We start from the raw sequence: 17,733 nt of genomic DNA, 5'->3' as shown, positions 1-17,733 counted from the left end.
GTCCTTGTGCAGGAGAAAGATCATGGGGGCCAGGAGTAAGGCTGATGGAGCAGGGATGAATGAGGAGAGACAGTCCAGACAGACTGATAGGACTATAGGACTTGATGTAGAGATGGAGGCGGGGAGAAGTGCTGGGATGATAGCTGGGTTTTGGAATTGAGTGACTTCTGCCATTTACCAGGAAAGCATAGTTTGGAAGGCAGATGCCTAAGGCAGGCAGGGGGAAGAAAGATGGCAAATCCCATTTGGGGCAAGGTTTATGAGTATTATATGGGACAAGGGAAGCAAAGTAGAGAAGTCTGGAATATAAGGGAAGGGAAAGGCCAATCAATGCTTTTCAAACTCTCTGGGAAGGGCCACTGTCTTTTTGTTTGTTTCCATTTCCAATCCATTGTACAATACTACTGTGCACAAGGAATATGGAGCTTGGGCCACACACAACCGCCATGCAAGCTCAACAGCATACAGCTCCCAAACTTGTCAATAGCCTATTCAGTAAGAAAAAAATCTGTTGGTCACATGCTTGATGTTAAGGCAATGTCAAAAAGATCTTGCTTCCAACTTCTGTTCTTATCTCATCATGGACTGTATGAACCCACTTTGAGTAGCACTGGTCTGGACTTAAGTAGATGCATGTGGGTTGAAGGTACTGACTTGGAAGTTATCCCTAGAGGTGGTATGTGATTGCCGGGGGAATTGTTGAGGAGTGGGGGATGGGCAGCAGCCATCCAACCCTATGAAAATGCCAACATTTAAGACAGGGGTTCAGACTTCTTCTGTAAGGGCTCAGTTAATACTTTGGGCTTTGAGAGCAACATACAGTCTCTGTCACAGGCTACTCAACTCTGACCTGATAGAGCAAAAGCACCTTTACTGGGATTTCTCAACTTCAGCACTACTGAGATTTGAGGCCAGATAATTCTTTGCTTTGGGGAGTTGTCCTGTACACTGTAGGATGTTTAGCAGCATTCCTGGCTTCTACCCACTAGATGCCAGGAGCACACCACCCCCAGTCACGAAAACCCACAATATTCCCAGACATTGCCAAATATCGCATAGGGAACAAATATCACCCTCAGTTGAGAACCCCACTGAGCTGTAGACAGTACATAAATGAATAGGCATAGGTGTGTTCTAATAAAACTTTATCTATAAAAACAGGCAGGGGGCCGGATTTGGCCGGCCTGTAGCTTGTAGACCCTTGACTTAAGGGATGGTCAGAAAGAAAACTAGAAGAGCTTATTCAGTAAGATTTGAGGGCCTTCTGTGTCCCCAGCTCAAGAGGAGGCTCTGTAAGTGATTCAGCATAAAAAGGAGGAGAGTTTTCCCAACAGGAACACTCATGTATAGCCCTTTTGCTTACTTTATTCTTTTTGAGCTCACCAGCCACCTGGAAATATCAGGCATTAAAACCACAAAACAGGAAAACAACAAATCACATAATACAAGCCCTCCACAACCCCTAAGAAAACCCCTAAGCAAAGCAGTAGCAAGGTTGGATTACGTGAGGTGCATTCGAGTAGACTTCCTCCAGGAAGGAAGTGCATCTGGAGCAGGTCTCAGAGGATGTTGTGAATAGAGGCTGATGGTAAGAAGGTGGGAGAGCTTTCCATGTAGGGAACACAAGGTTCTTAGTTTCAGGTTAGGAGGGAAATGAAGTGTCAGTTAGGAAGCTAGGGAGCTATTGTCCCCAGTGAAAGCCTGTGATTGTTCACTGTCGCATGCAATGGGCTTCCTCTGGGAAAAGAATGAACAGCACTTAACACGATTTTCTAAGAACAGGATGTTTGTTTTTCTCCTCGAGGATGGCGGGGGGCGGGGGGTGGGGGGGGGGCTTTGTTACTTTACAATTCAAATCTTTTGACGTTTACCACAAGTCAAATTCCTTTTGAGATTCTTGTTGACAATAGCAAAAATACTGAAAAGTCCTAGTGAGTTAGAGATGGAGGGACCAGTGTCTAGGACCCTTCTTCTCATTTTTGGCTTCTGACAAGGTCAGGTTAGCATCTCCACCTCTCATCCGTGTTGCGCTCTTGGTGTGTCATTTCCTCTTGGTGCTGTCAGACTTCAAGATACATAGTCTTCAGGTTGGCAGTCCTTGAGTTATCAAATCGGCAGTGGCTACAGAATGCAGCTATGGCTGGAATCCTAGCTCCTCCACATTTTGGGTGATTGACTGGAGACACAGGCTTCATCTAAGACTGCTTCCTAAGAGGTATGCTCTGAGCATTACATGCCTGCCTGGCCCACAGAAAGCACTCATGCTAGCTAGTACTCTTCACAGGTGTAAATTATTTAGAGAACAAAGCATTTCAGATTTGTCACTTTCCAGAGAGCCTCTGTAGACTTGCTCTAGGGTTTGGCCCCCGGGAGCAAGTCAACCTGGCTCTCATGATGGAAAGTCTAGCAGGGGTTATGGATTTAACACTTGTGAATTTGAAGTTCACTGTGGGCCATGTGTTGTGGGAGGCAAAAGATGAATAAGCTCATGCCCACAGAAGAGCTTTCAGCCTAGTTAGAGGGAAATCATTCAACAAATATATTTGTAGTAACACATATACAAATAACGCAAGGATGTTGGTAGTGGAAGTAGATTGAGAGTAGAATGACGACTACCAGATTCCACATATAGCCAGTGCTGGTATCATACAGAAAAGCCATGTTTCAGCCCATCCAAGGAACGTGGATTATTGTAGACAGCCCTAGCAGGGTGGCAGAATAGCATGGAAGTCCTGTATTTGTCCCTTTACCCCATCAGAGAACTTGAGAATGTGGCCTAAAGGCAAATGGCTAGGAACTTTGCCCTCCAAGGTAGTATGGGTTAAATGACCATAATCTGAATTTCTGGACAGTGTCAGCTTATTATTTGGGATCATTTGAAATTACCATTACCAGAACTGGAGTACTGCATAGAATAATTGCTGACTTAAATATTAATATTTTGTGAGCAACTGAGAGCAAGTTCCTTGCTTTTGAGCAGAGATTAGAATGAATATCCTGGCTGAATACTGCTGAAAACTTCAGAGTCAAGTTCTCTTCCTGTATTGATATTGTCCTTGCAGCATCACAGACCAAGTCAGATCCATTAGTTATGGAAACACGTGAGCAGTTCACAGCAATGGCCTTATCAGAGATTCACATCCATGAAACTAGAGTGCCTGCCTGGGTGCTTCTGACCAGCCCTGGTGCCATGTACAACACGTCCTGATAAATGAACCAGGCATGAGAGGACTTGCCCTCCTCCTGCCTTGTTGTAACTGCCAGAGTTCTATGTCCACATTGAGTCTTCCCCAGTAACTCATTTTTATAGGAAAAAAGGTCCTAATGGCCTCTGTTCAAAAGTGCAGACTTGGTGCTATGTGAGGTGGACCTTCTGTCTTCCAATTTTGCTTCTAAGAGATCTTTCAAATTAGATCCCATAAAAATGAGACGTGTACACAAATTAGCACTGAGTCTCACATATGGTATTTGTGGGTCTGTATATAATCAGGGTTGTAAAAGAACAATAAATTCAAGCTGTAGCTGAATCACAAATGAAAGTCCTTTAAAATAATGGAAGGTGAGATGTATCAGACTTTGAATGGGTCTTTAAAATACCGCCTGCTCGTTCTGGCTAAGTTCATTTGCATAACAGAGCTCAGCAGCTGGGGAGCCAGCTAATAGAGTTTCATAGTCTTGAAGCTTAGAGCTATGTCCTCAGTTTAGATGATATGGGGAGAGGGTAAGAATCTAAAAATAGAAAAGGCATCTTCTTATCTTCTCAAATGGGTGGAGTTAAACAGACTGAAAATATGAAAAGCATCCCCTTCGGGTTACTGGGTGCTTCTGGTTACACTGATTTCCGCCTTAGAAATTCAGCATTGAACTTAAATGAAAATCTAACACTATGGGGTTTTTTTCCCCTTCAATTTTAAAATTATTCAGAGAAGCACTCCTACAGAGGTTTGTAAAAGGATTGACATGAGCGTCCACATTGTAGTAATATTTTAGTGTTTCTGATCCCAAAGATTGGCTGGTCATTTCTATATTAGTAAGAAGACTGCCGTGTTCAAAGAGAAAGCTTCTTCAAGGGAAAGTCCGTGTGCGTTTTTCTATGGAAAAGTGACATGGGACTACAAGGAAATTGGCAGTGATCGTGTTCCCATACAGGAAACTCAGAATAAATGGGAACGTGAACACCTCCCTTCACGCACTGTCAGGGAGGCGCAGGGTAACCGCCCTCCCCTCTGTGAGAGCTTCATCCCATGGCCATACTTGCTGTCCCCTCCCCACCCCAGCCCATTCCATCTTTTGAGAAACCTGAGCTGTTACTTGGAGGAGCCAAAATCTTTCCTTGTAGTTTCTGCTTGGTAGCTCTAGGGCCTCCCAGAACAAGTTAATTCCTTTTCATTACAATTAAATGAATCCTTCAGATCCCTTAAGATTAGTTTTCTCTTTCTATGAGTTCTCTTTAAGCTGCTCTATTCCTTCAGCCTCTTCTCACATGTCCTAATCGAGCTCCTTCACTTCCTCCCATTTGCCTCCCTCTGAACATGCGGGGACATGTTCCAGGTAGCCTTTATCCCTTCTAAATGTGGAGCCTAGGATCATGTTCTGGGCGCTTGGCACAGTGGAATTATTATCTTCTGGTTGGCAGCAGAGAGACATAGCCCACAGATGGTTGGGGGTAGGGAGGCGGCGGAGGGTACTTGGCCGAGTCATCATCCTCCCCTAGGACTGTTGGTTCCAACATGCAGGAGGAGTCGCTGGATACTCTGGCATGGGGCTCAGATGGTGCAGTAGTGCAGTGGTGCCGTGACTGGCCGCATAGTGCGACTGTGCTGAGGCAAAGCGAAAAGTGATCAGAAGCTGGAATGTCCCTGAAGGATGTGACAACCGAGCCAGAAAGGGGAAGTCGGATGCAGGCTCACTTCCTGCAAGGAGGAGAAAAGAACAGAGCCGCAGGTCCCTGGGGGCAGTAGCACCCCTCAACCCACCTGCCCATTTTTATACATGTGTGTTTTAAATTAACACTGCAACCTGTTTTGCAGGATGCAATTTTTTTTTTTTTTTACTTTTTCTCTCCACTAAGAATTAATCTAAAAACAATTAGTAGGCAAACCAAACATTCCTTTAAAATAAATGGAATTTTAAAAATATCCCAACTCCTTGGTTCTTTTCAGAGTCCTGTAAGTTGCCAGTGCATCAACTCTAAGTAACTTAGGAGCTGATTTTTCTGTCTGTCATTTTTTAAAACCGCTTGATTTTCCCTTCCTCCTGGCTGCTGCCCTGTTTTGATATTTTCAGCATCATTCTGTTTGCCAAAAAGATGGTAAGAAATGAAGCAAAGCACCGCTTCAGTTTTTTTCTTAACCAAATTATTTATTACTGCTGTGATTATTTCTATCATTATCACTGTCATTTACGCTTCAGTCAGTCACAAGAAACTAGAATTGTCTAGCCTAGTGCAACCCGGCTCTCTTCCTTCCTTATAAAAACCAGGGCCGTAGCTTCCTCTCCGGTCCTTTTGTGTATTGAAACTCTTGGATTTCTCACACAACCTGTAAGGGAGCATGTCCGTTCTCAGCAGCACTGTGCCCACCTGTCTGCCTGCCACATGTGTTCTCTCTGACCTGCCACATGACTGACTGGCAAGCTGGACCCTTTTGTTGGCAAATCTTTTCTCTCTAGTGCCCCAGGAACTAGAGCATTTGTTTTTAAAGGAATCTAACTTCTGAGATGAATGTTATCTCCAGTGTTATCTATGAAGGGAAAGAGGAACAAACCATGATCCAAGAACTAGGAGAAAGTTTGTGGAACTAGAAAGAAACCAGGAATAATTGTGGGAAGTTCAAATTTCAGGGTCAAGGTTTTTGAGAAAGGGCTAACTATAAGAACCTTTGTCTGTCTTTTAAGATTTAGGTAAGATAGTGGGAGTAGAGAAATGCAAGAAAACTAGAGAGCCAGGCATGGTGAGGCTCATCTGTAAGCCTAGCTGCTCGGGAAGCTGAGGCAGGAGGATCACTTGAGGCCAGGAGTTCAAGACCAGCCTGGGCAACATGGCAAGACCCCTTGTTCTAAAAAAAAAAAAAATTGTTTTTAATTAGCTGGGAATGGTGTTGTGCACCTGTAGTCTCAGCTACTCAGGATGCTGGGGCAGGAGGATGGCTTGAGCCCAGGGTTTCGATGCTGCAGTGAGCTGTGATCATGCCACTGCACTCCAGCCTGGGTGACCACATGACTTGACCCTTGGTTGCAGGAAAGGGGTTCAAGATGAGGAAAGGACAGACACGAGTGAATGTGCTCAGCACCCTCAGATGGCTCAGTGCCCACAGGTTAATGCTGGTGTTGAGAGTTTTGACTGAGACAGAAAGCTAAAATTCTCTCATCTGGGTTGTGGAACACCCAGGAGGGCCCGCTCCCTAGTTGTAGTCTGGTAATTCGCTTCCGGCCTGTAAGCCTTTCCTGTTTAGCTCCTCCTTTTCTCTTTTCCCAGCATCCCTTCCTCCAAGCAGATCCTTCTTCCTTCTGGGCAGAACGCAAAGCCCTGGGGTTCCCCTGACTCATGCTGACTGTTCTGATGTGTTGGTCATTCACCAGCAGTCTCCTGGAACCCAGGTGTCTTCTATTTTCTTTTTTTTTTTTTTTTTTTTTTTTTTTGAGAGGGAGTCTTGCTCTGTCACCCAGGCTGGAGTGCAGTGGCACGATCTTGGCTCACTGCAAGCTCCGCCTCCCGGGTTCATGCCATTCTCCTGCCTCAGCCTCCCAAGTAGCTGGGACTACAGGCGCCTGCCACCAGGCCCGGCTAATTTTTTGTATTTTTAGTAGAGACGGGGTTTCACCGTGTTAGCCAGGATGGTCTTTATCTCCTGATCTTGTGATCTGCCCGCCTCGGCCTCCCAAAGTGCTGGGATTACAGGCTTGAGCCACCATGCCCGGCCCCAGGTGTCTTCTTAAAATGATGAGGAGGGATGGGATTTCAAGTCATGGCATATAGGCCCATTCCATCATCAAAGGTTATCTGTGTGTGTCACTAGTCACCCTTGCACAAGTTGCTGTCCTCACGGGCCCAGGCGATTCCACCTGCCTGCACTTCCCTCCTCGCTCATGCCCTGGCCAGCAGCTCCTCCTGCATCCTCTCCCACCTGTTGAATTTTCTCACTTTCCTTTCCGACTACAAATGTTTCTCTTCTGAGATCTCTTCCCTTTTACAAAGTACAGATCCATGCTGCCTCTTTGGTGAAGGCCTGATCACAGAAGCAAAAAGTGATCTGTCCCATAGCCAGGGTCAGGGGAGACGTGGCTCAGGCCTTTTGTGAAGTCTTCATATACCCACACACTGCCATTGCAGATGCTGCTTTTAGACACATTTTCCTGATGTTTGTGTTATGATCAGTAACTCATAGTAGGCTTTTCAGGACCTAACAGCCATGTATAAAATTGGCTCTCCAGGAAAGCCTAATCTGAGCCCTGCATACACATTTATATATTTGTGATTTAAAAAAAAATAGCCAGTTCATTAACATGATTTGAAAATCCAAAATCATAAAAGGATAGTGAAATTTCTTTGCCACCCTGTTCCCCTTCCATCTACTTCCCCTCTCTGTGGACAGTCACTATTATTACTTGTGTGTTTCCAGAAATACTCTATAGATAAGCCAGTACAAATATAAATACACGCATTTGCACCTCTTTTTTTTTCCTTTGATGATGTACATCTTTGGGCTCTTCTCGGATGAGCATATTAAGCACTTCTTCATCCTTTGTTAGATCTGAGTAGTATTTATTTGGAAGGATACGCTTAACTGAACCAGTCCTCCATAGGTGGACAATTAGGTTGTTTCCAACTCTTGACTGTTATAAACTGTGCTGGTTTGAACAGCCTTGTTATTTCTCTGTGAGTTGGGTAAATCCCTATAAGTGCAATCTGAGGTCAGAGGGCATATGATTTGCAGTTTTGATAGATATTGCCCCACTGCCTCTACTGAGTTTGGACCTGTTCATACTTCAACTGTCAGTGTATGCAGGGCCTGTTTCCCATCCTCATCAGCCCAGCACATTGCCACACATTTGTGTTTTAAACAGGCTTTGGAATGCACCCCTTTCATAATTAGGGAGCAGACAGAATTCCCAGGGAGGGTGCTCATTAAATATCATGTCAAGACCTCAAAGCTCAGAGCCCAGCCATGTGGCTTCGTGCTTGGTAGCCATGCAGCCTTGGCAGAGTGGCTGGATATCAGTTCGTCAGTAGTGATCCATTTGTAAAATGAGGATAGTCACAGTAACAGCCTCATGGCTTCCTCAGCTAGTCCATGTCAAGGGTTGGAACAATGCTCGGTACATAGAGAAGCCCTCAACAAATACCGACTTGTATCAAGTGCTGCTGGTACCCAGGAGATGCTCATACCCTCTCCAGGAGCAGCCACTTCTTGCTAGGGAAGAAACTATCCCATTAGGTTTCTGCCTAAGTAAGTAATTGGCAAAGATTTTGAAAGAGCAGTGAGCCCAGGAAGCAGAAGGGGAAACTGATCAAGCTGCATGGACTTAGCCCAGAATGTTCAGAAAGGAGAGAGAAGGAAGTGGTCAGTTCGAGAAATTATGGGCATTGGATTATCAGCGTTGGATTGACTCTCCTGGGATCAATCATGGTTGCCCCTGAGCTGGGGAGGAAGAGAACAGATGCAATAGAAGGACTAGATCAGAGCTGCCAGATACTTTCCCAGCAGCACAAACGTCAACTTACCTAGAGTTGTAAAACTGACATTTTGCCCAAAATTCTTAACTTTCAGGGTATTTGGGAGCTGTTAGGATTGGCAATTCAGATTCAATTCAAATTATTTTTTTCTATAGTCCTAGAAGCCTATGCCCCATCATGCAGTAAATATGATGTAAATATTTGTAGAAAGAAAGCAAAATGCCTCTGAAGGTATCTTCTCCAGTATCTCCTACTCACCAGAATCTCACTACAGCTTAGGTAGCCTCCCCACCAACCCTTTTCTTGCCTTTTTCTTTGCTGCTTCCCTCCAACCTTTGCCTCCATGCCACCGACATGAAGCCCCACTTCAAGCAGGATGAGTGAGCCTCTGGTTGGAGGCCCCTGGTGCTGGTGCCTGTGGCTGGGCAAGGACTGACCAAAGGCTGGGGCTTGACGAGCATCTTGCTCCCTGGTGGGTGCCCAGCCCCCACCAGCCTACCGACTGGGCCCTCCCTCCCCTGCACCCTCAGCAGCACACACTTTCTCCCCCTTTGCTCTTCCTCCTCACTGTCCCAAATCCTTGTTTAATTCAAGGGTGTATGTGAATGATCCAGTCAGAGTGGCAGGGAACTGCTCTCTGGCTACATTTTCATGGGATTTTTTTTTTTTTTTTTTTTTTTTTTTTTTTTTTTTTGAGACAAGGCCTTGCTAGGCTGTAGTGCAGTGGTACAATCATAGCTCTCCGCAGCCTTGAATTCCTGGGCTCAACCAGTCCTCCCACCTCAGCCTCCCAAGTAGCTAAGACTGCAGGTGTGTGCTACCATTCTCAGCTAATTTTTTAAGAAAGTTTTTGTAGAGATGAGGTCCCATTATGTTGCCCAGGCTGGTTTCAAACTCCTGGACTCAGTCAGTCCTCCTGCTTCAGCCTCCTGAGTAGCTGGGACTACCGGCGGGTGCCCCCATGCCCAGCTAATTTTTTTTTCATAGAGACAGGGTCTTGCTATGTTGCCCAGGCTGACCTCAAACTCCAGGCCTTAAGTGATCGATTTTTTTTTTTTTTTTTAAATAATTGGAACCCCCTGCCCTGGGACCTGGCCTTGCATAACCCTGCCTCCATCAGCTGACCCCAGGCAGCCCTGGCATGCCCTTGAGTTGTGGTGGACACGCTGTATCTTTCCATGGCAGCTGCCTTCCTGGCCGTGTGTGCTGAGGACACCACTCCTGTGGGCAGCTGTTCCTCAGGCCACCCAGCTGCTCCTGCAGGCAGTCAGCCACACTGTGCCCAAAGGGCAGGGAGGCCACCTCTGAACAGCAGGGGGCCCGAGGCCAGGACTAGGCATTGTACACTCATACAGGAAGGAAGTTCTGATGTTTTAACAGGAAGAACATGGGCTTCAACTTTTGTTACCACAACAAGACCCAAATTAGAGCTAAAACTATGAGAACGAGTGTCAGGACCCACGATCATGTCATTGCTGGCAGCCCCATGGTCAGCCCACTCTGCATGAATGCAAACCTCCTCGTACTTTCTCTGCCTCCTCCCCATACCCAAAGCCCGAGTGGGGCTGGCTCTCTCTAGTGCATTGTTCTCAGCCTTCTCCGGCCTGGGTTGCTGGCCAGCATGCTGACACGCTGAGCTAGCTGCTTCCCAAATTGAGTTAGCTGTTACTGAGCCAGTGGGTGGTGGAGCACAGTTCTTGTCACCTGCCACTGGTAAATGAATTTAAAACTCTTGCTGAAAGGAAAGAAATATGGGGCAGATGCAGACAGCCTCCAGCTGCTACAAGCAAATGTGGCTCCCTTCAAAACACCAACTAACCCACCCAGCCCTTGGAGTATTTATTTGCAGGCTCTGCAGCCAGTGGGAGGAGCGCCTGAGGGAAGAGGTCATGGCAGAGCCATTTGGGAAGTTCCTGCAGTGGGAAAGGGTTTAGCTTCTCTGTGTCAGCATCAGAGGTGGAGGATTATTTTCAAGAGATAAGAGCATCTCATTGGCAAAAGAGCACATTACAACCCCAATGCCTTGTAGCTCATCCCTCCTAATCTTATCATATAGTATGTGCAGGGAGGATGTGTTGCTTTCTACACTGGTAACAAACGACCACAAACTTGAGGGCTTACAACATTTACCATTTCACAGGTTCTGTGGGTCAGGAATCTGGGCAGGGCTGAGTTCCAGCATCTCCCTGAGTTATGATTCAGTGTGGGTCAGGGTGGTGGTCTCATCAGAGGCTCAACTGGGGAAAAGATCTACTTCCAAGCTCCCCAACATTGTTGGCAGATTTCATTTCCATAGGCCCTTGCACAGTGTAACTGCTCACCTCTCCACAGCCAGCAAAGGGAGTCAGGGAGTCTTCTCCCTTGTCAGCTCAGATGAAATCTCCTATAATGTAACCTAATCAGGGACCTATTGCCTTTGCCACATTCCCTTGTTTAGAAGCCAGTCACAGGTTCTACTCACAAAGGCATTAACACCAGGAGGCAGATCATGGGGGCTCCCTTCGAATTCTGCCTACTGCATGGAGGATATAGCCTTATCAGTAATGTTTCAGAAGTGTTCCCAAGTGAAGGCCCAGCCTGTAATAGAGATTCACAATGTTTTCTCTTTGAAGTGAAGCAGTTTTGTTCATTTCCTCCCATCTCAGAATGACTTCAAATCCTGACATCCTCGACAGCCCAATACTTTGCCACAACCTGATTACAACTCTAGCTCTCTTATTTACTGGCTATATGTTATTGAGAAAAGGTAACTTTCTAGGGGAAGGGCTTATCCTGAATCTCCGTTTTCTTATCTGTAAGAATGTATTCCACTAACATTTTTAGGACAGTAGCATATAATAGTTATTGTCACTTATTAAATAATTCCAGCACCTTTCCTTTAGGACTGTTCATTTTATTGCATTAACTTATGTACATATGGAACTCAACAATGAAATATTAGTGTTGCTAGTATGCACATCAAAGCAAAAGGAAAATGTATTTTAAAACAAATCCAGTTGTATTTAAGGAGCTGAAATCACTGATCCTATGCTTACAGCAATTCTTAGAGGAAAATGACTAAAACCATAGACATGTCCAGAAGATGTGCCCATGGCTATGTCTAAAAAGTACTGGTGTCATAGATATGGGGTTTTTAGGTCTTTCTCTTTCCTGTTTTCTCTAAGATGAAAATTTTTATCCACTTACTGGAGGGAAACAATAAGTTCAGCATTAGTTGAAACTGGCCCTGCCATTATTTACAGGCTCTTGTGAAAAGGGAGGCCCTAGGGCACCCAAAAGGGTCTTTAGCTTATAACCTGCTTTGGTTTCTTCTGCAGGTTTGTCCTGGTTGTGGTCAAGACTGGATGATGTAACTGGCTCTCTAGGAAGCCTCACTTGGCCGTAACCTCAGGAAGGTTCTCTTTGACCCCATCTCATTTCGAAGCCACTTCTGAAGCCACTTGAGAAAAATGATGTGACAGTTCCTATCAAAAAGGATTCAGAAACATATACCATCTGTGAAGAAAGTGGCCCTTTCTCCCGCTTGCAAAATAGACATTCTCAAATTCCAAAATGCCAGCCAAGACCCCAATTTACCTGAAAGCAGCCAATAACAAGAAAGGAAAGAAATTTAAACTGAGGGACATTCTGTCTCCTGATATGATCAGTCCCCCGCTTGGAGACTTTCGCCACACCATCCACATTGGCAAAGAGGGCCAGCACGATGTCTTTGGAGATATTTCCTTTCTTCAAGGGAACTACGAGCTTTTACCTGGAAACCAGGAGAAAGCACACCTGGGCCAGTTCCCTGGGCATAATGAGTTCTTCCGGGCCAACAGCACCTCGGACTCTGTGTTCACAGAAACGCCCTCCCCGGTGCTCAAAAATGCCATCTCCCTCCCGACCATTGGAGGATCCCAAGCTCTCATGTTGCCCTTATTGTCACCAGTGACATTTAATTCCAAACAGGAGTCCTTCGGGCCAGCAAAGCTGCCCAGGCTTAGCTGCGAGCCCGTCATGGAGGAAAAAGCTCAGGAGAAAAGCAGTCTGTTGGAGAATGGGACAGTCCACCAGGGAGACACCTCGTGGGGCTCCAGCGGTTCTGCATCTCAGTCCAGCCAAGGCAGAGACAGCCACTCCTCCAGCCTGTCCGAACAGTACCCCGACTGGCCAGCCGAGGACATGTTTGACCATCCCACCCCATGCGAGCTCATCAAGGGAAAGACTAAGTCAGAGGAGTCCCTCTCTGACCTTACAGGTTCCCTCCTCTCCCTGCAGCTTGATCTTGGGCCCTCACTTTTGGATGAGGTGCTGAATGTAATGGATAAAAATAAGTAACAAGATGCCAACTTTTTTCCTTTGGGGTAAAAGGTACAAAAACAAACTAACCACAGTTGAAGAGAAGGGCTTCCGGAGCTGTATTTGCAGTTTTGTGTTGGGTTTTCTAAAATAATATTCTTACAAAGTATTTTTTTACCTGTTATGCCCTGTTTGCAAAAACAATTTAGAAAAAAACAACAAAGCAAAACCTATCTTGGCAAAAAAAGGAAGTGAGTCAGAGCCCATTTTCAGGAGGCATTGGTGATGTTCGGCTCACATATTGTTTGCAGACACACAAGAAATCTGGCTTGGCCAGGATTGGCACTAGCTATGAAGGGCTGAGCGAGTCACATTAAGGAACTTCACGGAACTTTATAGCACTCCGACATTTTCTGAGCAAGAGGAAGTCAAAATTTATTTAACACCTAAGCCTTTTTGTAGACTCTTTTCTATATATTGCTTAGGCTCACCATAGCGAATTCTCCAGTGTTAAAACTTTTCTGTTTTCACATTTGAACTTTATGGGTTTTGGGGATTTTCTTGTAGTTCTTATATATCCCTATATATTATATCTATATTGCAAAATTTTGACTGTCAGCTACATGTTGGTAAGACACAGGCAAAGTATTACTGTAACTAAGTTATTTTTAAAGTTAAAATATATTTTTACGTGCCTTTGGCTTTTTATTGCAGAGTCTACATTTTATAGATTCTACATCAGATGTTGTCACTTATTTCCATTGGGATTCCATTGTAAGCTGTGTATGTGCGTGTTTGGAAAAGTGTATTCATACTTAGTTTTTTTTTCTTCATCTGTTATCATACTTTTAACAGCAACCAATAACGGATTGTAAAGTGTAAAGGCACAGGTTACTCATGATGCTTCTGCAGAGACTGTGGGCTACACCACATATGTTATTTGGAAATATAGGTATTTTAGTACAGTACATACTTGCATTACATAGGTACTTCAAGCAACACAATAAAAAGTAAATGATAAAGTGAACTTGCTTGTTTATAGTAATAAACAAGACCATAAGAGAATAAGTATAGCTAGAGAAATTGCTTCTCTGAAATGTACATGAGCCCTTAAGGTAAGAGATGATTTCCATCTACTCTCATTTTGATTACTTCCTTATGGTTTGAGAGGCTAGAAACTGAGCCTCTCTACTTTTGGAAAAATGAACATGTGAGGTCAGATTTTTTTTTTTTTTTTTAAGTCAGCACTGATGCCACCCTCTCAGTGGTCATTTCTGAGCATCTTCCTGACTTGAACACCTTCTACAGCAAACTCTTGCAAGTCCAGTTTCATCCCTGTAAGGCAAATGTCTTTTCACGCAGAAAGTGCCATATAGACGAGATAAAGGCAGCTAAAACGAGGGCAGTAGAGAGCACTTACCCGACCCCAAGGTGCCAGAGATGCCCTGAGGATGGTGGTTAAGGAAACAGGAGCAGGAAATGTACACACAGATTCCTGTCCCTTTGCCAACTACTCCTTCCCCATCAAAGAAAAACACTTGCACACAGTAACTACCAGCTCCTTCTCTCAAACTTGTATTTCTCCTGGAAATGTATCTCAGAAATGACCTCCTCTCCCAACCACTTCAACGATTCTTTCTTTGGGTTTGGGGTTCTTGCAGTTCTATCATCTAAAATAACCTTTGGACTGCAGGTAAAATGCAATTAGGACAACTAACCAAGTAGACGAAACAAGTTCCCCTAGGCAGGGGTGTCCAATATTTTAGCTTCCCTGGACCGCATTGGAAGAATTTTCTTGGGCCACATGTAAAACACACTAACACTAACCATAGTTGATGAGCTTAAAAAAATAAAAATAGAAAATTGCAAAAAAAAAAAAAAAAAAAAATCTCAGACTGTTTTAAGAAAGTTTAAAAATTTGTGTTGGACTTCATGCGGGCCACAGGTTGGACAAGCTTGCCCTAGGGCATTGTGTGCTTTCCGTAACTTCTCAGTTGTATTTCGTTATCCATGACTCTCCAGTGTTTTTTCTGTTGGACCACACCCGTCACAGTTCACAGTTCCAAAGAGAAATTTCCCAGCCTATTCTAAATCTTGTTAATGACGAAGAGTCCAATGTATCTCATTATTTGTAGCCAATTTTAGACTCTTTTCAATACCTCCCCCCCATTTTAATTAGTATTGATCATATTCAGTCTTTCATTTTACTCTTCATCTGTAGCGTGACCTCAAGGTAAAGATGAAACTATTTCATGAAAAGGGGAGGAGTATGGCTGTGCATTAGCTCTACTCCCTCTCTGGTAAGTACTGGGGAGAGAACAGCCCTGCCAGTACTGGGTTTGATAGATTCTAAATATTAATCACACATCCTGCCTACAGTTAGCCATTTTAGTTTCTGGGAGTTCTTTCATGTACATTTTCTTCCATTAATTGAATTAGGTATAATTGAGATGGCAATAAATATGCCCGTATTAGAAAGAGGAAACAAAGCTACATGCGGCTTATGATTTTGTTGAGTCACTTCTCCCGAGGCAGCCTTTCCAATGCCTGGTCCCTTCCCCTGAGAGCAGGTGGACTGCTGGTGGTGGCTTTCTTTCCTGCAGAGAGGCACTTTAGACCCATACCTGCTGTGAGCTGAATTGATGTTCTCATCCTGTGAACCTTCTCCCACTTTAACCTAATTTATCTTTACTTGTTTAAAGATAAGGAAACCCAAGATGTACTTTATTTGCAAACTCAAAGCAAATGGCGAGCCACCTGTGACCCAGTAACCAGAAAAGAAACCATGCCATTTGTATAAGTAGAGACACTTCTTGTTGAGGTAGGCAAGGCTCTTGTGAGCGATTTTTTTCCCCTAGTGAGACCTAACAAAAGACAAGCTATATCATTTCTGCCTGAAATTATCTGCTTGAAAAGATCAAAATATCAGGATACTTAGCTCTTCACAAATATGAAGTCATTATCACATTTCACTGAGCCAGAAATCACTGTTAACAGCACACACAAAAGACTACACTGGTTGAACAGCAAAGAGAAACCCGGGTCTCCAGAATCACAGTTTAGTCCTTCTATATTACTGCAAGTGACCTGTTTTTTCTGAAGGCTCCCCGCAAATGAAGTCCTGGAATGGAAAAAATCCATAAGTCCATAAATTAACTTGATAAATATTTTAGAACAGACAAAAGAAAATATTGAGTGATGTAGTTCTAATCCTCCTAATATGGAACCTGGCAAGACTGAATCATTTTACTGTGAAATATATAAACACAATAGAATGAGCCAACATGATGGTTTCTCTCCAGTAAGAGTTTTTCTTTTGGAAATGAGGTTAACCTAGCCCCAAATCTAGCAATTCTCATAAAATCCGATTTTAGAATTAGCCTCCCAGATTAATCTGAATGATTGACTTATTTTTTCTTAGGCAAGTCAGTAAGCCACCCACTAGACAGCCATATCCAGCAAAATAAGAGAAGTTTCCAGATGCCAAATGATAAGCCACCATCAACCCAGCGGGGAAGCCTTCTGGTTGGTTTGGCTGTATGAGATTCAGGAAGGCCAGAATACCCAAAATTATTCACACGACGTTAACTTATTGGTACTGGCTAAGCAATACATGTATTTCCTAAAGGAGGAGATGGTCTTTTGGTTGATTTATGGACACACTTGTTTCATCTGACTGTAAATATATTGCATGCTTTATTCTGATGGTGCACTATTTCATCCAGCAAGCTTTTCATCTGAGAATGTTTAATGTTGACCTTATTCTTAGAGCAAGTAGATCTAAATATTTTTCAGCTGAGTTATTAGGGAGTCATTATTCTGTGGTACAATGCTGCAAAAAGCATCATGTGGAAGAATGGGAACTATGCTTACTTTATGAAGTGATGTATAACACAATGAAATCTGTTTTACAACTACTGTGCTGCATTTAATTATCTTCCATTTTTGCTGTTAAAAAAAAAAAATCCGTTAATGATGTCACTTCCATTGGCTCCCGGGAGATCAGTAATCCATCCTCTGAAGGTCAGCCAAATTTCCCTCATGGAAAACAGATCGACACGGGTGATAGATAAAAACATCTGCCCAAAGCAAAGCCATCGTGCAGAATAGAGTTAATATTCCAGAGACTCATCACGCAGACAGAGATGTCTGCCATACATCAAAATGAGCAAAGCTGAGTCAGTGAAGTGGGTATTATGCTCACCATGAAGTGATTATTGGAGTGTGTCACAAAATATGCACGTGATTCATTGCCAAAAGGGTCACTGGGGGAAAAAAGAGCTTTGAGTTCTGGGGAGGGAGAGACCTGGGGCAGTTTTGTGGAAGAGAAGGACCCAAAAGGTACCTTGAGGGTCTGCTGAGATCATTTTAGGGAGAGGGGGCATTCTTGGAAGGGAAAGAATATGATGAGCTAACCAAAGGATACACTCACATCCTAGTAGTGCTTCTATTCAAAACAGTCCAGAAACAGGGATTGGAGTAAAAAATGCCCACTTCTAGGTCTGCAAGATTGGGATCCACTCCTGAGAAGACTCCAGTAGAAGAAGATTCTAGAATCAGACTGCTGAACAGGTGGTTCCCAGGATAGATATTTATATAAAATTAGCCAGCATTTTGTGAAAGCTCATGCCCAGTCTATAGTGCCCATTCAGAGACCTGAAGGCCAGAGTAGGGACACCTCAATAGTGAGGTTGACGTGAGGTGCTCAGGGAAAGTCATTTACGAAGGTGAAGGAAGTGAGAGGGGCTAAGTGTCTCCTGAAACAACTCCAGATGAAGCAA

At 44.1% G+C, this 17,733-nt stretch overlaps 1 protein-coding gene across 7 annotated transcripts in view, besides 5 other annotated features; it reads left to right on the top strand.

Annotated features, from left to right (window-relative positions):
* The window catches only part of CDC42EP3 (CDC42 effector protein 3), a 31,006-nt gene extending 14,136 nt beyond the window's left edge, over window positions 1–16,870 (top strand). For 6 of the 7 annotated variants that reach the window (NM_001371569.1, NM_001270436.2, NM_001270438.2 and 3 more), the window contains exon 2: window positions 11,992–16,870. In NM_001371569.1, coding sequence (NP_001358498.1) covers window positions 12,227–12,991 — 765 coding nt within the window. In that variant the 5' untranslated portion in view covers window positions 11,992–12,226 and the 3' untranslated portion in view covers window positions 12,992–16,870. Of the gene's footprint in view, window positions 1–9,369; window positions 11,421–11,991 lie in introns of those variants that run through there. The other variant, XM_011532482.4, reaches the window with a different exon arrangement.
* Window positions 1,337–1,842: an enhancer, noted in NCBI's record as "OCT4-NANOG-H3K27ac-H3K4me1 hESC enhancer chr2:37884115-37884620 (GRCh37/hg19 assembly coordinates)". NCBI's record gives its function as "activates a minimal SCP1, AML or CMV promoter by ChIP-STARR-seq in primed H9 embryonic stem cells {active_cell/tissue: H9 hESC(primed)}" and the evidence as "EXISTENCE:reporter gene assay evidence [ECO:0000049][PMID:30033119]".
* Window positions 2,289–2,408: an enhancer, noted in NCBI's record as "active region_15599". NCBI's record gives its function as "activates an Ori minimal core promoter by ATAC-STARR-seq in GM12878 lymphoblastoid cells {active_cell/tissue: GM12878}" and the evidence as "EXISTENCE:reporter gene assay evidence [ECO:0000049][PMID:35858748]".
* Window positions 3,806–3,865: an enhancer, noted in NCBI's record as "active region_15598". NCBI's record gives its function as "activates an Ori minimal core promoter by ATAC-STARR-seq in GM12878 lymphoblastoid cells {active_cell/tissue: GM12878}" and the evidence as "EXISTENCE:reporter gene assay evidence [ECO:0000049][PMID:35858748]".
* Window positions 4,533–4,742: an enhancer, noted in NCBI's record as "active region_15597". NCBI's record gives its function as "activates an Ori minimal core promoter by ATAC-STARR-seq in GM12878 lymphoblastoid cells {active_cell/tissue: GM12878}" and the evidence as "EXISTENCE:reporter gene assay evidence [ECO:0000049][PMID:35858748]".
* Window positions 6,365–6,554: an enhancer, noted in NCBI's record as "active region_15596". NCBI's record gives its function as "activates an Ori minimal core promoter by ATAC-STARR-seq in GM12878 lymphoblastoid cells {active_cell/tissue: GM12878}" and the evidence as "EXISTENCE:reporter gene assay evidence [ECO:0000049][PMID:35858748]".
* Window positions 16,871–17,733: the final 863 nt, after the last annotated feature.

Source organism: Homo sapiens, chromosome 2 (assembly GCF_000001405.40).
Source record: "Homo sapiens chromosome 2, GRCh38.p14 Primary Assembly".
Lineage (NCBI taxonomy): Eukaryota > Metazoa > Chordata > Mammalia > Primates > Hominidae > Homo > Homo sapiens.
The sequence above is the reverse complement of the archived record's forward strand: the minus strand, read 5'-3'. Positions and strand labels throughout refer to the sequence as shown.